Here is a 27,195-nt window from a genome sequence, read left to right as displayed (position 1 = left end):
TCAAAAGGAGAAGGCAGAGCCCCTGAACAGCGGAAGACAGAGCCCACCCAGCTGAAGACCAAGCACCTGAGAGAGTACACTCTCAAATGCCACTCAAGCATGCCTCCCAACAACTCCTATGTCAACTTCGAGCGTTTTGCCTGTGTGGTGGAAGACGTGGCTCGGGTCGACCTGGGATGCCGTGCCCTGGTGGAGGCCCACGATACCATCCAGGACGATGTGGAGGCCCTGGTCTCCATCTTCAATGAGAAGGAAGCTTGGTACCGAGAGGAGAATGAGAGCGCCCGGCATGACCTGTCCCAGCTCAGGTATGAGTTCCGCAAGGTGGAGTCATTGAAGAAGCTGCTGCGAGAAGACATCCAGGCCACGGGATGTAGCCTCGGAAGCATGGCCAGGAAACTGGACCATCTGCAAGCCCAGTTTGAGATTCTGAGGCAGGAGCTCTCCGCAGACCTGCAGTGGATTCAGGAGCTGGTGGGCAGCTTCCAGCTGGAGAGTGGGAGCTCTGAGGGCCTGGGCTCCACATTCTACCAGGACACCAGTGAATCCCTGTCAGAGCTGCTCAGCAGATCATGCACTGAGGAATTTCTGGCAGGCTGGAAGCTCTAATCGCCAGAATCCAGTCAGTGATGCATCCCAAGAGGTTTGCAGAAGCATGTTCTCATCCACCCTGCTGCGGCCTCCAGCTAGAATTATCCTGCAGGGGTGTGTGTCTGTAGTATAGCCTTCCAGCCCCTCCACAGAATCCAGAATTGCTGAGGTGCCAGTTAATTCTTCATTCTGCACCTCCCCTCACCAATCTGGTTTTCTGGGAGGGCTCTGGCAGGGCAGCCAAGCTGTTAAAACAATTAGAGAGTGAGTACCCCTCAGGGTCCCCTTCTGCAGAGGGAGGATGGCTGGCCCTGGGGAAATGCTTGAGAATTGATTTGTGATGAAGGATTTGTTCATATCTCACTTTCTGCCTACATACCTTATGGACTGTAGATCTTGGGTAATATTTGAGTTAATTAGGAATAACTAAGTCAGCATGGTGCTTTCCTGCTACAGAAGCAGGGATTTACAATGCATAGAGAAAATAATATTGCCTTTCGTTTGCATTGATTTTTCACTTACCAAGCACTCATGTCTGACAAATGACCTCACTTGGTCCTTAAAAGAACTCAGTGAGATAGGAAGGTGGGTGGCATTATTATTATTATTATTTACATGTAACTGATGAGAAAATTGACTCAGAGAGGGAAAATGATATAGTCAATCAGTACAGATGAAACAGAAACCCAGGATGCCCATCTCTAAGATGAGGTATATGGGAGAAAGTAGTAAGGCTTTGCTGTAAATATCTACCTTAATATTAAAGTCCAGGTCCCAGAGGTAAAGTAAGCAACTTCATGTATTCTGCCAGGTGTAGGTGGAATGCATACACCTGCAGATGATTGTCCCAGGAGCTCTGTCCCAGAAGGCAAAGTCATTGTCCCTACCCATCCCTGTCTCTGTCTGAAGACCAGCCTGCAAGCAGGAGAGAAGGAAGGAAGGAGTCTTCCCATTCTCCACCCTTTCTCCTCTTCTGGCTAACGGCCCCAACTCTGTGTCGAGAATAAAGGCCAGAAGGTCCTCAACAGGAGGTTCCTTTTCTTATGTACCTAGGCCATTGGGCCTTGAAGGCCTAAGAAGTTCCGTGAGGGTTTTTGAAAAGGGCAAACATAAAGATGGGGAAGCGCAAGGCCACATGGTCGTTTCATGACCCAAAGCTTTGAGCACCCCTCCCCAAGGATTATAAGATCTCATCTCCCTTTCTCTGGGGGAGGGGACAGTCAACCAACTCATGTCAACAGAGCATGGCATATGAGCCTAGTGCTGAGCTAGAAGCTTGTGGGTAGGGGCATAACTTGTATAGTTCAAAGTGTCTTCATGGCCTCACAAAACATCCCTATCTTAGAGGCAGACTAAACGATATTCCCAATTTAGAGCTGAGGAAACAGGGAGAGGATGGGATTTTCCCAAGGTCACATCATTATGGCAAAAGTAGAGACCTTCTAATGACAAGTCTGTTGCTCTTTCTGCTTCCCCTGGCTGCGCCAGGCTCCAGAAGTTTACTCCCTGCTTGTGGGGGCAGCTCACACCTGGATTCATCCATCCATTTATAAATTATACTTAGGCACCAACCAACTTCCAGATGCCCGGCTTGACTCTGGGGATACAATGTTTAGTAAAAATAGGCCTGATTCCTGTCTCACGGAGTGCTCAGTCCAGCGAAGGATTTGAACATTGACCAAGAATCACAGAGAGATAGAGCTGCAGCTTGTGTTCATGCTGGGAGAGAAGCACATAGCACTGCAGGGGCCTGCCGTCAGGGTCTGACAGCATCGGGGGAAGCGTCCTGAAGCAGTGACACTGGAACGGAGGTCAGCTAAGCCAACCAGGGAGAGAGAAGTTTCCCAACAGAGCCATCATACCAGAGCTCTGTGATGAGAGGCGGTGTGGAAGGTTGAGAATGTGAGGACTGAAAGCTGGAGGGGAGAGAATAGGAATACAGTGCGGAAATGACCGGAGAACAAGCAGGAGCAGCAGGGCTTTGGCCATGTGGAAGAGCTCTGCCCTTATCCCGAAAGTCATGAGAAGCCAGCGGGTTCCAGGTGCTGGGGAGGGAATGCCCCGTGAACAGCTCAGACAGGAAGTGGTTTAGGACAAGACAGGAAAGCTTCATCTCATGAAACCATTTCTTCAGAATCCTGTCTCCTTTTCTATATGCATGAAGGATCATTTCAAATATCATATACAATATTTGTAACAGAAACTTACTTCATCAGCTATGAGAAACCGTGGTGATAAGATGCATCATCATTTTATGGACCACTAAGAAAAAAGGCCCAAGATGGGGCGTCTAATAGGAAACTCTCTCTACCCCCACCACATAAAGCTGTGATGCCCTCAATGAGAGGGTAAATGAGAAATAGAGCCACCATGCAGAAAGGGGGAGCAAGGAAACCCATGCATCTCAACCTTGACACTAAATGGGGGTGAAAAATCCTTCCCTGAGAACAGGAGTCCCAAGCCGGTGGTACTCATGCAGGTTTGCTTTCTGAATTTGCACTATCAGTGTGATCCAAAAGAACATCAAGCAGAGAGTGTAATGTCCAACAGTCTGAGGCTGGGTGGCCCTGGATGGCTGGCAAAAACAGTACTATCCTCTCCCGGAGCACCTGCCTTCTGTCCGGGCCAACAGTAAGAATATGATACCATCATCTGGGAGATGCCTCCTGACTTCAGAGATCCAAAAATGTATATCTTGGAACCAATGAAAGATGGCAAAAGCTCCATTTCCTACATCTTACCCCAGAGAATTGGTTCAAATGACCTGTCTACAGTCTCTCCAAGGTCTTACCTGCCCTGTCACGGGAAGTTGTATACTTGTTTGGTGCTGAGACACTGCAAATATTAAATGTCCCTTTGGCCGTGTTAACAGACCTTGACCTTCACACAGCCAGGTTTCTAAGGAGAGGAAGCCACTGATGGGGCAACACAGGGCAAGCTTTTTAGTGAAGGTCAAAATAGAATGCAGGCCCAGTGTGGTGGCTCATGCCTGTAATCCCAGCACTTTGGGAGGCTGAGGTGGGTGGATCACTTGAGGTCAGGAGTGTGAGACCAGCCTGGCCAACATGGAGAAATCCTGTCTCTACTAAAGATATAAAAATTAGCTGGGCATGGTGGTGGGTGCCTGTAGTCCCAGCTACTCAGGACACTCGGGAGGCTGAGGCAGGAGAATCGCTTGAACCTGGAAGGCGGAGGTTGCAGTGAGCCAAGATCACGCCATTGCACTCCAGCCTGGGTGACAGAGTGAGACTCTGTCTCAAAAAAATAAAAAATAGAATACAGTAAAAGAGTAAAATGTTGGCAATGATTTGAATGGGGAAAATTGGGAAAAGGGAGGGAGAAGTGGTTGTTTTAGAATCATGATCAGCTATACACAGTGCTGAGAGTCACCCATTTAGTTGGCCGTGAGCTGGACTCCGAACTCTAAGTGGTTTTCCTTATAGCAGTGACATCGTCCTCTCTATGCTCATGTCCAGTCACTGTAACTGTTTCTCACTTAGACGTGTCGTAAACAGACCTTTTTCTGTACAAAGAGCTTCTAAAGACAAATGAAAGAGAGTTGAGAAATGCCCCCAAGTCTTTTGGGGAAAGCAGAGGAGACCATGACCTTCCTCTGTGTCCTGGCCAGCTGAAGTCCCGTCCTTCCATGGCATTGGAACCTGATGCTGGGGGAGCCCGGGGGCCTGTGGGATGCAGCCACAGGACCTGCTTATCTCTGCTCCCCACACGCCCTCAGCTGACTTTTTACAACAGTGTGGAGGGCTAACAATGGCGGGAAGGGCTGTGAGAATGGACTGTTTCGCTGGTGCCTAGAGGAAGGAAGGCTTGTGGGTGCTGCTCTGTGGGCAGGCCCCTCTGCCATTGAGGATTTTTAATTCACCAAATTGCAATTTTTTTGGTGGGGGAGCCGCACAGAGTCTCACTCTGCCGCCCAGGCTGGAGTGCAGTGGCATGATCTCGGCTCACTCCAACCTCTGCCTCCCAGGTTCAAGCAATTCTCCTGCCTCAGTCTCCTGAGTAGCTGGGACTATAGGTGCGCAGCACCATGCCCGGCTAATTTTTGTATTTTTAGTAGAGATGGGGGTTTCACCACATTGGTCAGGCTGGTCTCGAACTCCTGACCTCAGGTGATCCACCCACCTCGGCCTTCCAAAGTGCTGGAATTACAGGCGTGAGCCACTGCACCCAGCCCAGACTGCAAATAAAAGGTCGGCTTCTGTGCTCTGTTCAAACACCATCCTGGGCTGTTTGGGAGGGGAAAGTGAGTGTATGACATCGCCCTGAATAACAATTCTCAAGGAAGCTGGCAAGCTGGCCCTTGGGGAAGGCAGCTGCCTGTCCCTGCTGTGAGGCAGGTGCTCACAGCCTAGCATTGCCTGACTGTGTGTCAGAAGGTGGGGTGATGGTTTGGTAATCGATGATTCTGCAGCTGTGGGAGCCTGGCAGTGAAGGGATGGAGCAGAGGAATAATGGCAGAAAGAGCTGGAGTCTCCCCCATGGGCCCCCTCCCCTCCCTTACAGGTGATCATGAAGATGGTGGCTTCCTACCTCACTCCATCACGCAGCACAGGTGGCCCGGCCCTTGCTGGAGGTGGCTGTGTGCCCAGCTGTCACCCCTACTGTCAATCTTCTGTAAATGTCTGTGGGACTGGATGCCTTTTTTCCTTGGTCCGTGAAATTCCTGACCCAGCAGTGGGCATGTTCACGTTGCAAAAGGGTCCAGTCCCGTTGAACAAACACTGATTGTGCTCTGGCTCAGGGGGAGGTGACAGACAAGGACAAGATAACCTCAAATAAAAGATTCAGTGTCTGGGGCAGATGGGGACCCAGCCAACTAGATTGGAAAAGCTATGGTGAGTGATAAAATAGAGCTTCCTCATCTCCTAGAAATCAAAGGAGAGAGGAATTCTGATTGAGAAAGGGTAAGAGGGTTGCAGAGAAGAGAGGCCTTCCCAGGGACGCCGTCCCCACCAGTGACCGCCCTCCTCCACTCCCAAGCTGTGTCCCTTGAGGAAGGCATGAGTAAAATCTGGAAGGGGGGTGGGGCTGAGCCAAGATTGGGGTTAGGAACTTGGAACAGTTGAATGGAGATTAAAGAGAGGGAGATTACACAGATTTAAAAGAGTGTTTTAAACTTTTTGTTATGGTCCCCTCAGCAGGAAAATTGCCAAAACTTGCACAGAAGTATAAGGAATGGGATAGTGGATTCCAGGACCTATGACCCCGCTCCAGCAGGAATCAAGTCATGCGGGTCCTCTTTCATTCATCTCTCCCATTACTTTTCTTCTGGGGTATTTTAAAGCAAATTTCAGACTTATTTAACTCATAAGTTCTCCAGCATAAATCTCTGCTAAGGATTTTCTTCTTCTTTTTTTCTTTTTTTTTTTTTGAGACAGAGTTTCACTCTCGTTGCCCAGGCTGGAGTGCAATGGCGCGATCTTGGCTCACTGCAACCTCCATCTTCCAGGTTCAAGCAATTCTCCTGCCTCAGCCTCCTGAGTAGCTGAGATTACAGGCACCCACCACCACACCCAACTAGTTTTTGTATTTTTAGTAGAGATGGGGTTTCATCATGTTGGCCAGGCTAGTCTTGAACTCCTGACCTCAGGTGATCTGCCTGCCTCGGCCTCCCGAAGTGCTGAGATTACAGGCATGAGCCACCGCACCCAGCCAGGACTTTCTTTTTAATACAACCCCATGCCATTATCACACTTGACAAAATCAGCAATAATTCCTTCATCTCATCTGGATTCCCATTCCATCCTCACATGTCCCCACCACTCCCAACAGTGTCCCATTACAGCTGGTTTGTTCAAATCAGGATCCAAACAGTCCACATGTGGCATTTGGTTGCTACGTCTCTCAAGTCTCTTGGGTTTTATAACAGTACAAAAGGAAGAACCTTTGAAGCTTTTCCTGGGGACAAAAAATTGCTCAGAAAACTGATGGTCCCATAGAAGAATAAAAAACAGAGCGTATCCATGTCAAGACCTAACTCAGAAATGTGAGACCAGGCCAAGCAAGGAAAGGAATGTTTCTGCCTCCTTCCACTGGCTTGTTCACTGTAGGGGGCAGCCTTCAGGCTCACAGCCTTTCTGCAGCTGTCCCTCCCACTTAGGAGGAGGCAGAGCCTCAAGCCTCCCACAAGCCCCATGTGCTCCTTTCCTGGGAAAACAGGTGGGTGAAGGCAGCAGAGCCCAGGCTTCAGCCATCAAAACATCCAGCGAAGGGGAGGGGTGGAGGGGTGCCACCTATAAAACTCCATTGAGGGAAGGGCAGCGGGGAGGGGTCCTGGGCAGGAGAGAAGTGGGTGTGAGAGTGCCCTGGCTTTCACTGGAGTAAGGGGCTGGAGAGATGGCACAGATGGGGGTTGGAGGTGCAATCTGCTTGCAGTTCCTAAAGAAGACCTAGTATCTAGAGAAAATCGTTGTGTGGGGGGTGGAGTTGGGGGAGTCGCCTCTTCAGTAAAGCCAGGATTCCTTTTTCATGCCTTAGCAGCGGCTGCTGCTTCCTGCCCCTGCCTGTGGATGTTGGTACTGACCTGGCACACCCCACTGGACTTTTTCAAAGGCATTTGCAGCTGCATAAACAAAACTTGACTACCCCACAGTTTTCTGTCTTCTTGCTTCCCTTTTGGACATTTTTCCAAGACACCAAACACACTCCTAGGAGCCTGGTCAGAATCACCCAGGGCTCCCTGGTATCACGGATGGACCACAAGGCCAGAAGGCGGGCACTTTCTGTTTGCAGGGAGGGGCGGGTCAGGAGAAGGCAGGACACAGTTCCATCTCCCCCTCACACCCCAAGTCGAATCAAAAGTGTTTGTGCCACATTCCCTCTGGGAACAATTTTGCTGCAGAATTTTCACCTCTGCTGCAGAATTTACATCTTTCCAGGCTGAGATGTCAGCATCAGCGTTTGGTGGGGCTCTTAACAACCAGGAAGGCCCATTGATTAGGAAAGGCCAGCCTGACAGAATGATAGCCCCATGCTGCCTCCTCAGGGTTGGTGGTGTTGTGTGTAGCTATAAACAGGGCCCTCAAAAGAATTGCATCACCTCCCATTAATAGCCTCTGGGAATGATCTCACCTGACATTTTAGCTGGGCCCCTCTGCTCAGTGGCTGGCACTGCTGGGCCAGGAGGAGGGTGGGATTCTCATTAACGAGATTCCCCACACCTGCAAGTTGACCTTCCAGCCATGGGCTTAGCTCTTCCTCCCCTGGGTGAGGGTGCCAATCAGTAAGTGGGCAAAAAGAAATCTCTTCTCCCCCAGAGTCTACTAATCCCATCTGAGCAAACTCTCCTTGTGAGGTGCAGGTGCCCCTGTGAGGGTTAGGCTCAAAGGTCATTCATGCCCAGGGGAATTGCAGACATCAGTGAAGTTAGACTTAGAAATGGTTGATGGGTTGGGGAGGGTGCTAAGCACCTTGGAAACGAGATTCTAGGAGCTTGGAGGTGCAAGGGAGAGAGGACTAACAAAAAACAAGCAGTCAGCCCTCCCTACCTGCAAGTTCCACATCCTCAGATTCAGTCAACCACAGATCAGAAATACGCAAAAAGTAAAAATAAAAATAACATTACAATAATAAATGCAAATAATACAGTGTGACAACTATTTACATAGCATTTATATCATATTTGCTATTATAAGTAATCTAGAGATGATTTAAAGCATTAGGGGAGGGTATGTGTAGGTTATATGCAAATACCACACCATTTTATAATAAGGGACTTGAGCATCCATGGATTTTGGTATCTGCGGCAGTCCTAGAACCAACCCTTCAAGGATACTGAGGACTGAATGTGAATAAATACAGAATAGAATATTGGGTAGCACCACGTGTAATGAAGATTTAGTGCCCCGGCATAGTGAATCATGGGGGAAGTTGGCTTGCTACTTTATATAGGGTGGTCAAGGAAGGCTTCCCTTAGGAGATAACATTTGAGCAAAGACTTGAACAAGGTGATAAAGTGAGTATAGGAGAGAGCAAGGGCAAAGACCCGGAGACTTTGGATTCACAGACCAGCAAGTGGACCTGTGCGATGGGAGCCAAATGGACAGGAAGCAGAGAGGTAGAAAATCAGGGTGGAGGGTACAGGCCTTGAGGGTCTCCATGAGCTCGTGGGGATGTATAGAGGGCACAGGGAAGCCACTGGAAGGCTTGGAGAAGGGAAAAGGCAAGGTCTTCAGCACAGATTGGTCACCCTCCATCCACTTTTGTGCCTCCCTTCCAGGGGGGGACTAGACCCAGGGCTGGGCTTGCAGGTGCACAGAGTGGGTGACAGACAGTTAAAGACAGGATCTAGAGGGCTGGACATGGCCTGCTGGTTCCTCCGGCAGCCTTGTCCTTTTCTCTTCCCATTCCTTGTCTTTCTCCTTCCCCTCCTCTCTTTCCTTCTGTACTCTTTGGCCCAAAAGCACTGTGCTTCAGTTTCGGAGGGTGAATAGCCCCAGGTTTTCTCATCTCCCATCCACTTCCAGGTTGCATGCACTCCCCCTCCAGCTTTGGGTCACCCCACCCCCCGCCCCGGAGCTGTACATCCTACTGACTCCTGGGCAGAGCCATGGGGAACCTTTGTGCCCTGACACCCTTTCAAGGTGGTGTGACTGGGCTGACCAGGTGACCTGGGCCCCTCATCAGTGGGAGTGAGTAGGTCCCAGGTCCTGGGATTTCATTCCAACTTATCTCTCCAACAGCTCAGGGAAATGACTTAACCATACAACTATTAAGCACTCACTGTTGTAGGTCCCGGGTTGGGAGGAGAGTAGGGCAGGGCATTGACATAGACAGGAAGAAAGTCTGTGCCCTCCAGTCATTTTCCAGGAGTGGGGTGATTCCTCTGCAAGGCTGGTTCTGAGAGGTGCTGGACTTCATAAAGGAGCATACATGTGCCTTGTTCATGTCAGGGAGGGAGACATGATTTTCTGGAATTTGTCTTGGAGGAGATCATGTCTGAATTGGGCTTTGAAATACTTGAAGGCCTTCCAGGGGGATGGGCAGCAGGGGCTGCCATGGGATGGACCTCCTGCCAGAGGCTGCCAGCTCCAGAGCAGCGTGGCCAGCAGTGTGCACTGGCTTTCTTCCGGTCCCTGATGCCATGATGAAAAATCAAGCGTGGAGGTGTGCTCCGAGCATGGTTAGGAGACAAGACCCACGCCTGGGAATCAATAGGCTCCCTCGCTTAGCATTCACCAGGTGAATGAGGCATTGCGGCAGGAAGGCTGTCAGAGCAGAGAGAAAACCAGAGCTGCCCGGGACCTTTGGAATCATTCTAGGCAGTTCATTTTCTTGAGGTCATGGGGGCCTTTGAGAATCGATAAAAGCTATTGACTCTCCTCCAAAGAAATGCATGTCTGTACATACATACTAAATTTTAAAAATTGAGTTATAATTTATATATCATAAAATTCACCATTTTAAAATGTACAGTTCAGTGGTTTTTAGTATACTCACAAGGTTGTGTAACCACATCACTATCTAATTCCAGAACATTTACATTACCCCAGGAAGAAATGTCATACCCTTTAGTAGCCATTCCCTGTTTTCCCCTTTCCCTAGCCCCTGGCAGCTACCCATCTGCTTTGTTTCTACGGATATGTCTGTTCTGGACATTTTATATAAATTGAATCATACAGCAGGTAGCCTTTTGTGTCTGGCTTTTTTCATTTAACATAATGTTTTTAAGGTTCATCCGTGTTGTAAAATGTATTGGACTCAATTTTTTATGAATAGTATTTCTGACTAATATTCCTTTGTATGGATATATAGGCACATTTTGTTCACAGAACCCCTGAAACCTATCTCTTGATTTCACAAAACCTTATTTTACAAAAGGGGGGTGTTGAAAAGGGAATGGAGAACGCAGGAAAGCTCACAATAACTTATTACTATTTATTGAGTGGTGCTGGGCTAAGCACTTTATATATGCATGATCATATAATCCTTAACAACCCTGTGACATGATATTATTATCCCCATATTACAGATGGGGAAACTGAGGCTCAGAGAAGCCATCCCAAGCTTCTTGGAGAAGTCAAAATTTAAGCTGAGCTCTGACTGCCAGGCTGTGAAAAGCAACTGCACATCCTGTTGCCTCTTGACTTTCATCAAAGCCCTTATTTCCTTCCATTTATTTTTTAATGGAGTATGAATTCCCCGTCTACCAACAAGGCATTTGTTTTGCCAAGCCCAGAATCACCCCAGTGCCCAGAGGGCATCCCAGACTGCTGTAAAATGACCCTCTCCCCAAAGTGATGTGCGATTGGAGGGCCTGCCTCCTGCTATTCCCCTTCAGGAGCTGCTGAGCCTCCAGCCAAGGCTGTGTGTGTGTCAGGCTGTGGTAATAATAGCTGAGAGGCAACTCCTGAACAGCTGAGACATGTGTAGCTGTTGCCCTGACTGTGATGCTCCCACGGTGTGCCCCACCTGGCGGGGAGATGCCAGGGTCAAGCCAAGGGCGGTGGGCATGCGGTGGGTGGGGAGTTCTGCGGCGAGGAGGGTGGCTGCTGTCTGAAGCCCAGCATCAGCTGCCATGCTCTGCTTTGTCTCTCAGCCGGTGGACAACCAGCAAGCCATGGTGCGCAGGGAGTCTGTGGTCAATCTGGAGAACTTCAGGAAGCAGTATGTCCGCAGGCGGTGGAAGGTGTGTCCAGGGTTGGGGCGGCGGGGGACAGGGTGGGGGCTAGGGCGGGGTTTCTGGCTCTCCAGGGTCTCCATGCACATTCTCACCTGGGGATTCCTTTCCTCTGCCTCCCTCAGCTTTCCTTCAGCATCGTGTCCCTGTGCAACCACCTCACCCGCTCGCTGATGAAGAAGGTGCACCTGAGGCCGGATGAGGACCTGGTGGGTAAATGCATGCCCTCTTCTTGGGCAGAATTCTGGGGTAGCCTGGAGCTCAGGGATGGGTGAGTTCCCTTTCCCCTCACAAGGCAGGTGGGTGTTCACTGTTTCCAGCCAGTTCTGCTGGCCCAGTCCTCCTCTTCCCTGAAGGCTGAAGTGTGATCTTCAGAGGAGTGTGTTCTGGGGACCTCTGGGTGGTGCCGGGAGGGGACCACTGATGCAGCAGCATGAACTCCTGGAGGATCTCCCATCCTTTCCTGGTGGGCCTTCAGAGGGGCCGCTGCTGCCGGCTGACCACAGACAACCCAAAATGTATTTCTGATAACCCAAAAGCTGCTTTAGAATGGGAGCTTTACATTCTTTTTTCCATATTTCTATTTCTGCTTTGTTTCAGATTACCATCATCATAATATTTAGACAATATCTTATATTTGATTACTTTATTGCCATTTTGTATACATTTAAAGGGAGTAGCTTATAACAGAATATACTGGTGAAGAGGGTGCCCTCTGCAGTCAGACTACCAGGATTCAAATCTGCCACTTACCGTGTGACCTTGAGGAAATTACTTAACCTCTCTGTGCTGATAGTTCATCATTTGTAAAATAGGGTTAATAATAGTTCCTAAAGATTAAATAATGACATATTCTTCCTCTTCTTCTTCTTCTTTTTTTTTTTTTTTTTGTTTGTTTAGACAGAGTTTCACTCTTATTGCTTAGGTTGGAGTGCAATGGCGCGATCTCGGCTCACCGCAACCTCTGCCTCCTGGCTTCAAGCGATTCTCCTGCGTCAGCCTCCTGAGTAGCTGGGATTACAGTCATGCGCCACCACACCCAGCTAATTTTGTATTTTTAGTAGAGATGGGGTTTCTCCATGTTGGTCAGGCTGGTCTCGAACTCCCGACTTCAGGTGATCTGCCCGCCTCGGCCTCCCAAAATGCTGGGATTACAGGCATAAGCCACCATGCCAGGCCAATAATGACATATTCTTAAAGCCTGGCATGTAAGTGCTCAGTAAGCGTTAGCAATTGTTGTTGTTTAAAACCTTCCTGTAGGCTGGCAGTAGTGGTTCGTGCCTATAGTCCCAGCACTTTGGGTGGCTGAGGCGGGAGGTTCATTTAAGGCCAGGAGTTAAAGACCAGCCCAGGCAACAACAGTGAGACCCTGACTCTACAAAACAAAAACAAACAAACAAACAAAAAAATTAGCCAGGTATGGTGACAGGCACCTATAGTCCTAGCTACTCAGGGAGCTGAGGTGGGAGGATCACTTGAGCCCAGGAGTTAAAGGTTACAGTGAATTATGATCACACTACTGCATTGCAGCCTGGGCGACAGAGCATGACCCTAACTCTAAAGAAAATTAAGTTTCAAAATTAAAAAAGTAAAATCCTCCTGTAGACTTTAAAATGCAGTTGGTAGGGGTTCCCTGGACAGCCCCTCCCCCCGCTTATGGAGCGTGGTGTAGGGTGCTCAGGAATGTCTGGGATGGCACAGGTCAGGACAGAAGGGGACGCCCTGCTCAGGGAGCGACTGGGAGGTGGGTGCCTAAGAGGGCTGAGCAGCCTTATGATGCACGGCTAGACCTAGGATAGCCCTGCTGTCCCCACTCCCTCCACACAGCCTGGGGTCTTCTCTCTTTAGCATGATCTCTTGCCAGCACTTGAGGATTTATGGCCCAGAGGCCCCAAACAACTGTGTGGCTTTGGCCAAGCCCTGTGCCGGCTCTGGCTGCTTTCCTCGTCTCCTATGCAGGGCACTGGACCGCTCTCCCGCTGAGAATCCCTGATAATGACAAGCAGACTTTACCCAGCTTATTTTTTTACTGTTTGGCTCTGACTCAAGCTAAAAAGTTGCTATTCAGCAGAGCTTGAGTTATTTTTATTGTTATAGCCGGGCTTGGTCTAGGATGTATTTGGCTAAAGTTGATCTTGACCTTGGATTTCCAGCTGGCTCAGGCTGGAGGAAGGGGAAAAGGCCCTGGGAGGATGAGTGGCAGATGGTGGGCATGCCTCGCAGGCTGAGCCGCTGGCCCTTCTTCCCTGACAGATACAATCTGTGGGGAGAGAAGACCAGAGTAATTGAGAAGAATGTCAATTTTTTTTTTTTTTGAGACAGAGTCTCACTGTGTCTCCCAGGCTGCAGTGCAGTGGCACCATCTCAGCTCGCTGCAACCTCTGCCTCCCGGGTTCAAGAGATTCTCCTGCCTTAGCCTCCTGACTAGCTGGGATTACAGGCTTGCACCACCATGCCTGGCTAATTTATGTATTTTTAGTGGTGATGGGATTTTGCCATGTTGGCTGGGCTGGTCTCGAATCCCTGACCTCAGGTGATCCACCCGCCTCGGCCTCCCAAAGTGCTGGGATTACAGGCATGAGCCACCACGCCCAGCCAAAAAGAATGTCAGTTTCTTTCCAAACTTTTGTTCTTGTACAAATATTCTTAAATAGTACTCTTTTTACTCAAATAGCAAGCACCATCAGCTCAAAGGTTCATCCTAGAAGTGGAAAAATGTTGGGTCCCAGATATCTGTTATGCAGTTTTCCCAAAGGGACTTTCCTTAAAAAAAAAAAAAAAAAGAGTAATGATAGGTCCTTTTGTTTAGGAAGCACTGGAATTGAACATTGGACAACAGATATTTTAGGAATGAAGTCACTGTGGATTAGTACTTCTTTTAATAATTTTATAATTACATTAGATCATCATGACTTGGATGAAAAGACATTATGGCCTCGGGGTGGCTGCCTCAGCTCTGGTTTGCCATGTAGGAACTGACAGACAGTACTTTATACTCATTTCCTGTTTTATAAAAATGGAGCTCAGAAGTCATTTCCCTGGAAACACTGGTCAGCAAGGCGGCTGAAGGTGCAGCCCATCAAAGAAGAAGGGGCATGGGATGGTGGCTGTCAAGCATGGGGAGTACCTTGTGGCTCACACCCATCCTCCAGTCTCTCTAGGCTGAGCTCAGGAGACCCAGCAGCCACAGACCACCCAGCCAAGTGGCCTTGATTATATGGCAGCCACAAAGGGAACTAGATGTAATTTTCTTTATTATAATTTGGCCTCTCCTGATGTCTGGTTTCCCTTAGATGCCCTGCTGCTTTCCTTCCTCCAAGCAGTTGGTCTGGCCTCGTTTCAGATCCCTCCCATCCCCCAGCCCCTGGATGGATCAGCAGGCTTGCTTTCACCACCCACCTCCCTGGCTTGTAGTCCCGTGGTCCAGGTGAATCAACCCAGGTTGCCCAGCACAGCCCCATTCCTGGCGTCTCATGATCCTCCTGCCCTGGACCTCTTTCTCTTTTTTTTCTCCAGAGGAACTGTGAGAGTGACACTGAGGAGGACATCGCCAGGAGGAAAGCCCTCCACCCACGGAGGAGGAGCAGCACCTCCTAACTGGCCTGACCTGCAGTGGCCGCCAGGGAGGTCTGGGCCCAGCGGGGCTCCCTTCTGTGCAGACTTTTGGACCCAGCTCAGCACCAGCACCCGGGCGTCCTGAGCACTTTGCAAGAGAGATGGGCCCAAGGAATTCAGAAGAGCTTGCAGGCAAGCCAGGAGACCCTGGGAGCTGTGGCTGTCTTCTGTGGAGGAGGCTCCAGCATTCCCAAAGCTCTTAATTCTCCATAAAATGGGCTTTCCTCTGTCTGCCATCCTCAGAGTCTGGGGTGGGAGTGTGGACTTAGGAAAACAATATAAAGGACATCCTCATCATCACGGGGTGAAGGTCAGACTAAGGCAGCCTTCTTCACAGGCTGAGGGGGTTCAGAACCAGCCTGGCCAAAAATTACACCAGAGAGACAGAGTCCTCCCCATTGGGAACAGGGTGATTGAGGAAAGTGAACCTTGGGTGTGAGGGACCAATCCTGTGACCTCCCAGAACCATGGAAGCCAGGACGTCAGGCTGACCAACACCTCAGACCTTCTGAAGCAGCCCATTGCTGGCCCGCCATGTTGTAATTTTGCTCATTTTTATTAAACTTCTGGTTTACCTGATGCTTGGCTTCTTTTAGGGCTACCCCCATCTCATTTCCTTTAGCCCGTGTGCCTGTAACTCTGAGGGGGGGCACCCAGTGGGGTGCTGAGTGGGCAGAATCTCAGAAGGTCCTCCTGAACCGTCCGCGCAGGCCTGCAGTGGGCCTGCCTCCTCCTTGCTTCCCTAACAGGAAGGTGTCCAGTTCAAGAGAACCCACCCAGAGACTGGGAGTGGTGGCTCACGCCTATAATCCCTGCGCTTTGGCAGTCCGAGGCAGGGGAATTGCTTGAACTCAGGAGTTGGAGACCAGCCTGGGCAACATGGCAAAACGCAGTCTGTACAAAAAATACAAAAAATTAGCCAGGTGTAGGGGTAGGCACCTGGCATCCCAGCTACTCCAGGGGCTGAGGTGACAGCATTGCTTAAGCCCAGAAGGTCGAGGCTGCAGTGAGCTGAGATCACGCCACTGCACTCCAGTCTGGGTGACAGAGAGAGACCATATCCAAAAAAAAAAAAAGTTGCCAGAGACGAGTATGCCCATGCTCCCTCTACCTCACTGCCACCACTCCTGCTGTTAGGAGCTGAGTGTGTCTCCCTAAAATTTCTATGTTGAAGTCTTAACCCTTGGTACCACAGAATATCACTGTATTTGGAGATGGGGTCTTTAGAAAGGCACTTAAATTAAAATGAGCTCACTGATATGGGCCCCGATGCAATATAATTGGTGTCCTTATAAGAAGGGGAGGTTAGGACACGCAGGAAAGACCACATGAAGGCCCAGGAGTGGGAGGGGGAATAGCCATCGACAAACTAAGGGGGCCTCAGAGGAAACCAACCCTGCTGACACCTCAATCTTAGACTCTGGCCTCAAAAATTGTAAGAAAATAAACTTCTGTCTTTTAAGCCACCCAGTCTGTGGTACTTTTTTTATGGCGGCCCTAGCAAAATACACACTTGCCAACTACAGCCAAGATGGGGGCAGGAGAATTCCTAACGATGTGGGCGGAGAAGGGCGAAGAAGGATCCACGGCGAGAAGGGAGAGGAAAAAGACGGATGACCTGGCCCCTTCGGTGGAAATGGCAAGGGAAGCTCACTCAATGGCATCGAAATGTGGGCCCTGTTTTTCAGGCCAAAAGAACAGTGTTGCTGAGCAGCACTCAAGAGACGACCCATGGAAGTCAGAAATAAAGTCAGGGCGAGGCCGGGAGATTGGGAAAGCACATGGGAAGAGGCTGAAAGAGAAGTTTTGGAAGGTGAGGAAACTGAGCTGAGGAAGTGAGCCAGGAAGGAGAGAGGGGGGAAAACTATTATTAAAAGGAAAGGGTGCTGGGGAAAGAGGTCCCAGTTCCCTTCGTCAGCAGCCAGTTGATGGGTCCAGAGCAAAATGACCCCACAGGAACAGCAAGGCGACCCAGTTTCAGAAAAGTGTCGAGCCAGAAATGGAGTGAGCCCACAAGCTGGCTGCAGAAAGCTTAGCAGCTGACCTGGACTTCTTGAGCTTCCCCAGATCTCAGGCAGAAACAGTCCTGTGCCTCCCTCCACCCTGGGAGGATAGCAGAGGCCGAGAACTGCCAACTGTGGGCAAGGGCCCTGGGCCTGCGAGGGGCTCTTGGCTATGGTTGGTTACATAAATCAGCAGGCATGTTCTGGAACAGGGCTCACTGGGAGCTCCTAGGAAGTCAGTTACGGTAAAGGTGGGGCTGCCCTCCTGCTAGGAAGAAGAGCAGGAAAGACCTTTGACAAACCCAGTCTTGATCAGAGAGCCTTTTACAACTTGTCTAGCCCAACCACTATGTTTCACTGAAGAGGAAACCGATGCCTAGAGAGAGGAAGTGACTAGTGCTTCACACAACAAATTTGTGAAAATATCTAATGAAAGCCCAGACTTTCTGGCCCCTAGTAACGGTGCTCATTTCTTCAGCTGATAAACTGCAGTGGACCTTTCAGGAAAGGATGAACCGTTCGCTTTGCCTCATTGTTAACGAGTCTCATCTATTCTTGACTGTGGCCTGCCTCATCCTTCATTCTTGGAAATGGAAGAAATTGACACACTTGCTTCTGCCCATCTTTCACAGTAAAGGACACTGCCCCTGGATGGGGGCATCTCAGCAGCCCACCCCCACAGGCTGCAAGGCAGTCAGGGAACCAGTATTAATCGGGCTCCTGCTGTATGCTTGGCACTGTTCTAGATGCTGGGTTGGAACAGAGCAGGACAGACACAGACCCTGTCCTAAAGGGGTCCACGTTCTCTAAGCCCTGGGAAACCAGGACTCCATCATGCCCATATCTCCTCCTGGCCCTCTTCTCATCCAGGTTATATAAAGCACTGCTGACTGAGTCTTCTTAGCCCAGCTTTCTGGTGTTGGATGGCACCTGCTGTGTTTCCTAGAAGCCCTTGGGAAGCACAGGGCCAGGCAGTGGGCAGAGGGGGGCCTTTGAGGATGCACAATCCTTTGAGGATGACTTTGAGGACCAGCAGCCAGAAGCCAGGCACCCATGCGCCTCCCAGACAGGGGCCCAGTCCCTGTGGCCTCTGCTAGCAGACGACTGCGGCCCCCAGGTGTGAGGATGAGCGCAGCAGCTGGCCCAGGGCGCCACGTGTGTTCTGTTGGCTCTGAAGAAGGATGTGTTGACCAGCTGACACTTACAGGGCTGAAAGAGACCACAGCATTCTCAGAGGCAAATGGAACATTCCAGTGATGAAAGCCATGCCGGTTCAAATGCAATTCTTTCAAGAGGTCTGGAGGGTTCCTGCCCCAGAGTGTGTGCTTATGTGAGTGTTGGATGCTGCATTAATATTTCACAAATATCCATATAAATATTTTAGTGTGTTGCATTTCGATGTCAATCTCACTAGCTTTCCTGACTCCAAATCTTAGATTGCATTTGCCTTTTCCCTTCGCATATTTATTTGTGAAAACCTTATTTTGGAAGCAAATGAAGGCCATACTGTAAGAGGTGAACTACAACATCTCTATGAAGGAAAAGTCAGGCCCTGGACTCCACAGACAATCAAAGTAAGTACACGTGAAAGAGCTAACTTGAGGACTTGTTTCTCACAGGGAATTCTATCTGGCACAGGATTGGAGAACTTTCCTTCCATAGAGTCCCCAACTTGATTTCATCCTGATATTGTTCTGTTCACTGTAGCTGCACCCCAAAGGAAAATGTCTTCCTTGGTGATCTGCTGAGAGGATCCCATTCTAAGCAAACATTAATAGGCTTAGGGATTGAGCAGCTGAAGATCTGTGAACAATGGTTAATTGACATTTCAAAAAGCAGACACACCATTGGTGAGTTCCCCTTAACAGTTTCTCTCCTCCGGTTTTTCCCTCTCCCACTGGTTCTTCTTCTCTCCCCCTTCGTCCATTAGCAATTCATAATATATAGCTGAAGTATATATTTTAGTCATTTATTTACTTACTGAATGAAATTCATGTTCCCAGTTCTTAATCTAAAAAGCAGTTGATTATATTATCTAGGGAGAAATTTTTTTAAAGTATTTTTTCCTCTATGGGTCAGTGATCCTCCACCCCTAAGCTAGAGGAAGAGTGAAAGAAAAGAAAATGAAGCTCATAATAATTGTTTAAAATCTGCTCTGCAATAGGAACATTTTGCATACATTTCATTTAGTCCTCTTCCTAATCTTGTAAGGGAAATGAGAGCCCCATTTATATGATACAGCTGAGATTCAGCGGAGTTAGGAAATTTGCATGCAGTCACACAGCTGGAGTACTTAGAATCGGGATTCCAGCCCAGTTTTGCCTACCCTCAAATCCACATTCTTCTCTACTTTTCCTGGAGAAGTACGGTGTTCAATGAAAAAGTAATCCCGGAGAACTATGTACACTATTATACTCTTTTTTTTAAAGCTCACAAACTATGCCATAAGTTGTTTAGGGATACATGTGAATGTGATAAAATTTAATTAATTAATTAATTAATTTTTGAGACACAGTTTCACTCTTGTTGCCCAGGCTGAAGTGCAATGGCGTGATCTCAGCTCACTGCAACCTCTGCCTCCCGGGTTCAAGTGATTCTCCTGCCTCAAACTCCCGAGTAGGGATTACAGGTGCATGCCACCATGTCCAGCTGATTGTGTATTTTTAGTAGAGCCCTATGTTTCAGCATGTTAGCCAGGCTGGGCTCGAAGTCCTGACCTCAGGTGATCCGTCTGCCTCGGCCTCCCAAAGTGTTGGGATTACAGGTGTGAGCCACTGCACCTGGCCTAAAATTGAATTTTAAAAGCAAGGGAATGACCACTCTCAAAATTCTGGATGAAACTTACATCTGGGTGGCTGAGATGGGGAGGAGGACAAGGTGGGCACTGGGCTGTTGGCAGTGTTCCAGCCAACACTAAGTTCACGGTGGGCTCCTGCAAGTTCTATTTATTATAATGCTTTCTAACTTACATATTAGTTGTCTATGCTTTTGCATGTATCAAATATTATGTTAAAGATAAAGGGAGAAATGAGGTGAAAAAAGTCCATCCTAATGGTCACCATTTGCCGCAGCAGCCTCTATTAGGGACAGGACGTAGTGCCCCTCCCTGCAGTGTTTTTCTCACACGACTCGATGGTGGGCTTTTTTTGTGTTCTTCTACCAGCACCTAGATCAGAGGTCATCACACCACTCAATGTGAGAATACCTGGCTGGAATTTTTATTTCCCTTTTATTTATTTATTTATTTTTAAATTTATTATATATATATATTTTTTAGATGGAGTCTCGCTCTGTTGCCCAGGCTGGTGTGCAATGGGGCAATCTCGGCTCACTGCAACCTCCGCCTCTTGGGTTCAAGTGATTCCCCTGCCTCAGCCTCCCTAGTAGCTGGGACTACAGGCGTGTGCCGCCACGCCCAGCTAATTTTTGTATTTCTAGTAGAGACGGGGTTTCACCATGTTGGCCAGGATGGTCTCGATCTCTTGACCTCGTGTTCTGCCCGCCTTGGCCTCCCAAGGTGCTGGGACCACAGGTGTGAGCCACGGAGCCCAGCCTTTATTCCCCTTTTAAAGAGAAGGGATAGGAAATACCCTCTGCACCTCCCAGCCCTGCCTCCTCAAACATCACTTCCCCTGGGAGTTTGCGTAAGGACTTGGGTCTGAGGACAACTTCCAAGGCCGACGAAGCTGAGTTTGCCAGCTCATGCTCTGGTGCCTTCATGTCTCTTTGGATTTAAACCCAGAGGCCAGAACAGCATTTGAAAAGTCAGCTGGGCCATTATCCTGCTCCTAGATGGGATTGCACTTGGGTTTCTTCGTCTCATTTTGGAATTGAGCCAGGGAGATCCTATATCATCTCTCAATTCCCTTTTCCAGTTCTTAACAGTCTTTATTATATTTTACCAATCAGATCCAAAAAGCCTGGGCTAAGTCCTGCCACTTTGCAGCTGTTGGAACTTAGCCTTGTCATTCAACCTTTCTGGGCCTCAGTTTTCTAATCTGTGAAATGGTGATATCAGTGTTACTTGTCATGAGTGCCTTGTTGAAACCAATTTTGTAAACGAGCTTTGTCAACTTTGAAGGACTTGGCAAGCATAAGGAATTTGTTTTTACACAATTTAGTTACACTCTGGGACCATAGGCATAGAGTGTAAGGAAGCTCCAACTTCCTCTGAAGATTCCATAACAGTCGCTTCTGAAATAAATTGACAATAGACAGATTGACAGGAGAAAAACCATTTTAATTTTGTGGCTGTACACAGGAGCCTCATAGAAGAATGAGGCTCCAGAGAGGGACCCAATGGTTGAAGTTTTTACAGCATAAAGGAATAGAGCCTTGAGGCTTTGGGGGGAGGTGGTGATAAGTTACGGGAAGGAAAGGGGAAGAACTGCACAGAGAATGGTGTCTTATGCAAATACAAGTCCCTCAGGTAATCAAAGTTGTTTTGGAACTCCCTCCAGAATAGGCAATAGCCTGTCTGGGGGTGGTGATGACTTTTAATCTCCTTGTGGTTATTAATATTCCCTGGTGGTTTGATGAGATTCCTAGGGAAGGGGTTCAAGACAATTCCATTCCTTTTGGAAGACCATTCCTCAGTCAAGAGGTGGGAACTTCAGAGGGAGCTCCTCCCTGCCCTAGGGAGGAAAAAGAGGGGTGGGAAGGAGAAGGTCAGAGAGAGACCTTAGTTTTCCTCTGGGGCCTTTCAGTCTCCTTTGTTCAAAGCAGTCAGCATAGCACCCCAATAAGAGCAACTCTGAGAAATGTAGATGTTAGTCAACCATGGCCAATAGTGAGACTCAACACTGCTTACCTAGACTCTGGATGGAGGGCTCCTGGAGATCAGTGCACCTCTTACCTCTCCGACTCTCAGCAGTGGTTTAAACACAGGAGAAAGCATCACGTTGATGCTGGAGGCTCTCAGCGAGGGGCCTCTCAGCTGGCTGTCTTCCTCCCACCCCTCCGAGAGGGCCTGCTGGGAGTCAGGGAGCTGAGAGGACAGTATACTGCTCCTTTGTCTTTTCATTTAGCACCCTAACACAGGTTCTGAATGAAAAGACAAAGCGTGTAACAACTCTTTTTTTTTTTTTTGAGACTGAGTCTCGCACCCAGGCTGGAGTGCAATGTCGTGATCTCGGCTCACTGCAAGCTTCTCCTCCCAGGTTCACGCCATTCTCCTGCCTCAGCCTCCCGAGTAGCTGGGACTACAGGTGCCTGCTACTACACCTGGCTAATTTTTTGTATTTTTATTAGATATGCGGTTTCACCATGTTAACCAGGATGGCCTCGATCTCCTGACCTCGTGATCTGCCCGCCTCGACCTCCTAAAGTTCTGGGATTGCAGGCGTGAGCCACTGCACCCGGCCTGCTCTTTGTCTTTTCATTCAGCACCCAACACAGGTTCTGAATGAAAAGACAAAGCCTGTAACAACTCTTTAAAGAACTAAGTGCGGGACTTGACTATTTGCCCCTACCCCGTTTTCTTATTTTGAGTGTTGTATTAGTTTGTTAAGGATGCCATAACCAAATATCACAGACTGGGTGGCTTAAACAACAGAAGTTAATTTTCTCACAGTTGTGGAGACTAGAAGTCCAAGACCAAGGTGTCAGCAAGATCAGTTTCTCCTGAGGCCTCTCTCCTTGGCTGGCAGACAGCCGCCTCCTTGCTGCCTCTTCACACGGTGGTCCCTCAGTGGATGTGCGTCCCTGGTGCCCCTGTGTGTCCATATTTCCTCTTCTTAGAAGGACCCTTGTCAGATTGGATTAGGGCCCTTACAGCCTCATTTTAACTTAATCACCTCTTTGAAGGCTGTCTCTATAAATACAGTCACAATTCAGAGGTACTGAGGGTTAGGGCTTCCACATGTGAATTTGGTGGGGACCTAATTCAGCCCATACACTGATGTGAATCTAATTCTTCATTTAAAAAAAAGTAAGTACTTTGCCTTCCTGTTTTACATCCAGCTTCTGAATACCCCTGGGAGATGGAGCTATGGGCCCAGCCTGGCACAGACTATCTTTGGTTTATGAGGTCAGGTGTGCCAAACCACCAGCAGGGCAGAGACAAGCATCTTTGTAGGCTTTATATTCCAGGCACCCTTGGGCACTGGACACCCTGCCTCTTTTCTTACTCAGGAGTTGATTGTCTGTGGAGTCCAGGGCCTGACTTTTCCTTCATAGAGACGTTGTAGTTCACCTCTTACGCGTGGTGGCGTGTGCCTGTAAGCCCAGCTACTCAGGAGGCTGAGGAAGGAGAATTGCTTGAACCCGGGAGGTGGGGGTTGAAGTGAGCCAAGATCATGCCACTGCACTCCAGCCTGGGTGACAGAGTGAGACTCCCACTCAAAAAAAAAAAAAAAAAATCTCCACAGTGTAACTCTGCTGTGGTTGGTGTGTATCTGCCTTTTTCACTCGTTTTTATAGATGAAATACTATTTTATGATGCATCCCAACAAGTATTTGTTAATTTCAAGACAGTAGTGGATAAAAGTGAGGTGCATGGGGGGTTAAGGTAAGAAAGAAGCTGGGAAGGCCGGGCACAGTGGCTCACGCCTGTAATCCCAGCATTTTGGGAGGCTGAGGTGAACAGATCACCTGGGGTCAGAAGTTCGAGACCAGCCTGGCCAACATGGTGAAATCCTGTCTCTACTAAAAATACAAAAATTATCCAGGCATGGTGGCGGGCGCCTGTCATTCCAGCTACTCAGGAGGCTGAAGCAGAAGAATCACTTGAACTTGGGAGGTAGAGGTTGCAGGGAGCTGAGATTGCACCACTGCACTCCAGCCTGGGCAAGAAAAGCGAAACTCTGTCTCGAAAAGAAGAAAAAAAAAAGAAGAAAAAGCTGGGAAGAATTATGTTGCCATTGAAACTTAGAAATATACTTCAAATAGCCAAAGAGTTTCATTGTTTTGGCTGCTTCACTTATTTACACACTTTGCCCCTGTGAGCAGGCACTGAGTGTTTGTCTCTGGGCTGGCTGGCAAGACAGAGGGTGGTGGAGGTGCTTGGAAGATCTGTCCGGAAGGGCCGGGCAGCCTGACGGAAGGTCGTGCAAGCTTCCCGTCTGTGGGTGCAAGAGGAAGCTCTGGATGGGAGCTCTTTGAAGGGAAGGACTGTGTCAGTTCATTTATGGGGCTCCACAGTGTGCTGGTGCCTGGCAGATGGTATGAAGATCTGAGGAGGAAAGGTGGGGTGGGAGGGAATGAAGGAGGGAATGAAGGAAGGAGGGAAGGAGATAAGAAGTGTGGCAGCCCCGGAAGTGCCTTCAAGAGAGAACCCGCAGCAAAGAGTGCTATTCACTGCTGGCCCCCAGCTGCCACCCCTTCAGGGTGTTGTATTAGTTTGCTAAGTGCCAGCTGACTTTTCAAATACTGTTCTAGCCTGTAGGTTTAAGTCCAAAGAGACATGAAGGCACCTGGAGCATGAGCTGGCAAACTCAGCCCAGTTGGCCTTGGAAGTTGTCCTCAGACCCACGTCCTTACTCAAACTCCAAGAGGAGGCGATGTTTGAGGAGGCAGGGCTGGGAGGGGCAGGGGTATATTCTACCCCTTCTCCTTAAAAGGGGAATAAAAATCCCAGCCCAGGTATTCTCAGAGCATTCTCAGAGTAGCCACAAGGTCTTCACTCTCCGTAGGCTGCTTTTGGCCAGTGATTGAGCATGGTGGGATGGGAGACACGCGGCGGGTACTCGAACCAGGCCATTCCTGCCCAGCATGGGACCCTTCTAATATTTGCCCCTGGACTGCTCATCACCTGGCTGAGCCCTTCTCTGGGTTGCTCTGCCATCAGAGGCACTTCCTAGCCAGCCCTCCTTCCTTCCCACCCTCCTTCCTTAGGTGTCACACCTACATCATGGCCTGAAAGCTCTCCCTTGCCTACTCCTGCTTCCTTTCCCCTTCATCCTTCATAGGCGTTCCTCATCCCACACCCCAGGTCTCCAGCACTTCTCATCCCATCTTGGCATCTGCTTCCTGAAGAATCTGAACCCACATAGGAGAGAGGGCAAAAGGAGGAAAGTTTGAATTTGCTCCTTCTTTTTGTCTCCACTGATTCCTTTGGCAGGCATGGACTGACACAGCCACTGCACTCACCTTAAAGCTGTCAGCTGGGGACAGTGGTGCACCTGTAGTCCCAGCCACTTGGGAGGCTGAGGCGAGAGGACTGCTTGGGTCCAGGAGTTGGAGGCTACATTGCAAACTATGATTGTATCTGTGAATAGTCACTGCAGTGAGACCTGTCTCTTAAAGAAAGACAAAAAGGAAAAGAAAGCTGTGAACAGAGCAGTTGGTACTCAATTCGTCTTTAAAAAAAAAAATCAATGGTGGGCCAGGCGCGGTGGCTCACACCTGTAATCCCATCACTTTGGGAGGCTGAGGCAGGTGGATCACCTGAGGTCGGGAGTTCGAGACCAGCCTGGCCAATATGGTGAAACCCTGTTTCTAATAAAAATACAAAAATTAGCTGGGCATGCTGGTGGGCACTGTAATCCCAGCTACTTGGGAAGCTGAGGCAGGTGACTCGCTTGAACCCGGGAGGCAGAGGTTGCAGTGAGCCAACATGGCACCATTGCACTCCAGCCTGGGAAACAATAGTGAAACTCCATCTCAAAAAAAAAAAGAGACCAAGAAGCATGACATGAGGGGCGCATGGGAGAAGCTGCGGTTTCTAACTCTGGGAATCTGGAGGACTATATGAACAAGGTGGACTTTAATTTGGCCTTAAAGGATGGGTGCTAAGAGAAGGGACAGGAAGTTATGGGTTAGTATTCTGATTGCTTGTCCTTACGCCTTCTCGTGGCTGAACTTTGGAAAGCTACCAATTAAATGAAAGAATGAGACTTCTGCGGGTTAACTGCACGGTGGTGAATTAGTAGTTCTACCATTTTCCCCTTCTCTGTCCATTGTGACCCTGGTTCTTGGTCAGAGACCAGAGGGCCCTGTCGGAGAGCCAGTGGCCATCTGTTGGGGTTGGCAGAGGCATTCAAGGTCAGGCATACGGGACAGATCTGATTCTTCCTGAGTCCTCTGGAGGAGTCTGTGTGTGTGTGTGTGTGTGTGTGTGTGTGTGTGTGTGTGTGTGTGTCTGGCTGTATTCGGGTAACTGTGTGTTTCTGGGCATACCTAGGCACCCGTTGTGGACATGTCTCTGTGGGGTGTGTGGACGTGTGTGGATGTGTCTGGGTGTTTGTGTGTGTGGATGTCTTTGTGTGTGTATCTGACTGTCCGGGGGCCTGTGTGTGCATGTGTGTGTTGGGTGTCTGTGCATGTCCGCGTGTCTGCGTTTGGGGTACGTTTGGGTATCAGTGTGTGCACATCTGTCTCTGTAGTGGATGTGTCTGTGTGTGTGTGTGTGCATCTGAGTGTGTGTCTGGGTGAATGTGTGTTGTCCAAAAGGACTCATGGAGAAAGCGCCTCCTGGGCCCAGGCTTTGCAGAATCTATTCTGCTGTCAGACCTCTGAGGCAGGTCAGAGTGACATTCTGGGCGATGTGGTTGAGGACAGCCGCATCTGCTGAGTCATAAGGATGTGGGCCCTGTGTGTTCACAGTTGGACATATCGCCTTTCACACCCACGGAGGGGAAATTTCAGCCAGGCTGGCTGACCCTGCATTCTTTCAGAAGGTCATGACCTCAAGTAGCCCAGGGAAGGAGAGGAAACAGGAATGCTCGTAAGACCTAGAGGTTGGCAGAAGGTGAACTGAGACCCAGGTGTTCCCCAGCTGGGTCCGCTGGGTCGTGGCTTTCTCAGGCCTTTCCAATAACTAAGCTGAGGGCTTTGGAACTGATGGGACACTTCCTGGTGGGGGAGGAAGCCCGGGCAGATTTTCTTAAATGATACAAACTGCCAAGCTCACCAAACTTTCACAATCGATGCTGACCCTGGAAAGCCCCACAAAGCCATAAGAGTCTAGACTCTGGAAAATCCTTCTCCTTCCTCTCCAAATCAACCAATCAGCAAATAAACACCACTACACATAGTATGCTTAGCTGCCATGCAATCAAGCGAGGCTTTCACGCTTATCGGATTTAAACAGTAACGTTTCCCCAGGGATGGCAGGGGCAGAAAGCCTCAGTCCCAGGCTTCTTGGTTGGAATGGGTTTCACAGGTTCTTTCCTAATATCAGATGGGGAGGGGTGAGGAGGGCATTTGCCCGCTGGAGCACACCTGGGAGAGCACCACTTGTGAGGGAAGGGTTCCAGCAGGACATCGATGGGAAACGCACATCAGGAAATGAACATCTGAGCATTTACATGCACCCAGCATGGGGAAGGCACTGGAGAATATTCTGCAGGAGGATATTCCTGTTCCTAAGGAGCCCGAGCTGGGAGCGCACCTGTGGATATTCAGCTTGCC

The 27,195-nt window shown here is 49.2% G+C and overlaps 1 protein-coding gene across 24 annotated transcripts in view, besides 2 other annotated features; it reads left to right on the top strand.

Moving 5' to 3' along the window:
- The window catches only part of DAPK2 (death associated protein kinase 2), a 139,450-nt gene extending 123,142 nt beyond the window's left edge, over positions 1–16,308 (top strand). For 8 of the 24 annotated variants that reach the window (NM_001395283.1, NM_001395286.1, NM_001395284.1 and 5 more), the window contains 2 exons: positions 11,147–11,236; positions 11,353–16,308. In NM_001395283.1, coding sequence (NP_001382212.1) covers positions 11,147–11,236; positions 11,353–11,401 — 139 coding nt within the window. In that variant the 3' untranslated portion in view covers positions 11,402–16,308. Of the gene's footprint in view, positions 7,201–11,146; positions 11,237–11,352 lie in introns of those variants that run through there. The other 16 variants (NR_169523.1, NR_169524.1, NM_001385000.1 and 13 more) reach the window with 9 other exon arrangements.
- Positions 26,236–26,285: an enhancer, noted in NCBI's record as "active region_9546". NCBI's record gives its function as "activates an Ori minimal core promoter by ATAC-STARR-seq in GM12878 lymphoblastoid cells {active_cell/tissue: GM12878}" and the evidence as "EXISTENCE:reporter gene assay evidence [ECO:0000049][PMID:35858748]".
- Positions 26,486–26,535: an enhancer, noted in NCBI's record as "active region_9545". NCBI's record gives its function as "activates an Ori minimal core promoter by ATAC-STARR-seq in GM12878 lymphoblastoid cells {active_cell/tissue: GM12878}" and the evidence as "EXISTENCE:reporter gene assay evidence [ECO:0000049][PMID:35858748]".

Source organism: Homo sapiens, chromosome 15 (genome assembly GCF_000001405.40).
Source record: "Homo sapiens chromosome 15, GRCh38.p14 Primary Assembly".
Classification (NCBI taxonomy): domain Eukaryota; kingdom Metazoa; phylum Chordata; class Mammalia; order Primates; family Hominidae; genus Homo; species Homo sapiens.
The sequence above is the reverse complement of the archived record's forward strand: the minus strand, read 5'-3'. Positions and strand labels throughout refer to the sequence as shown.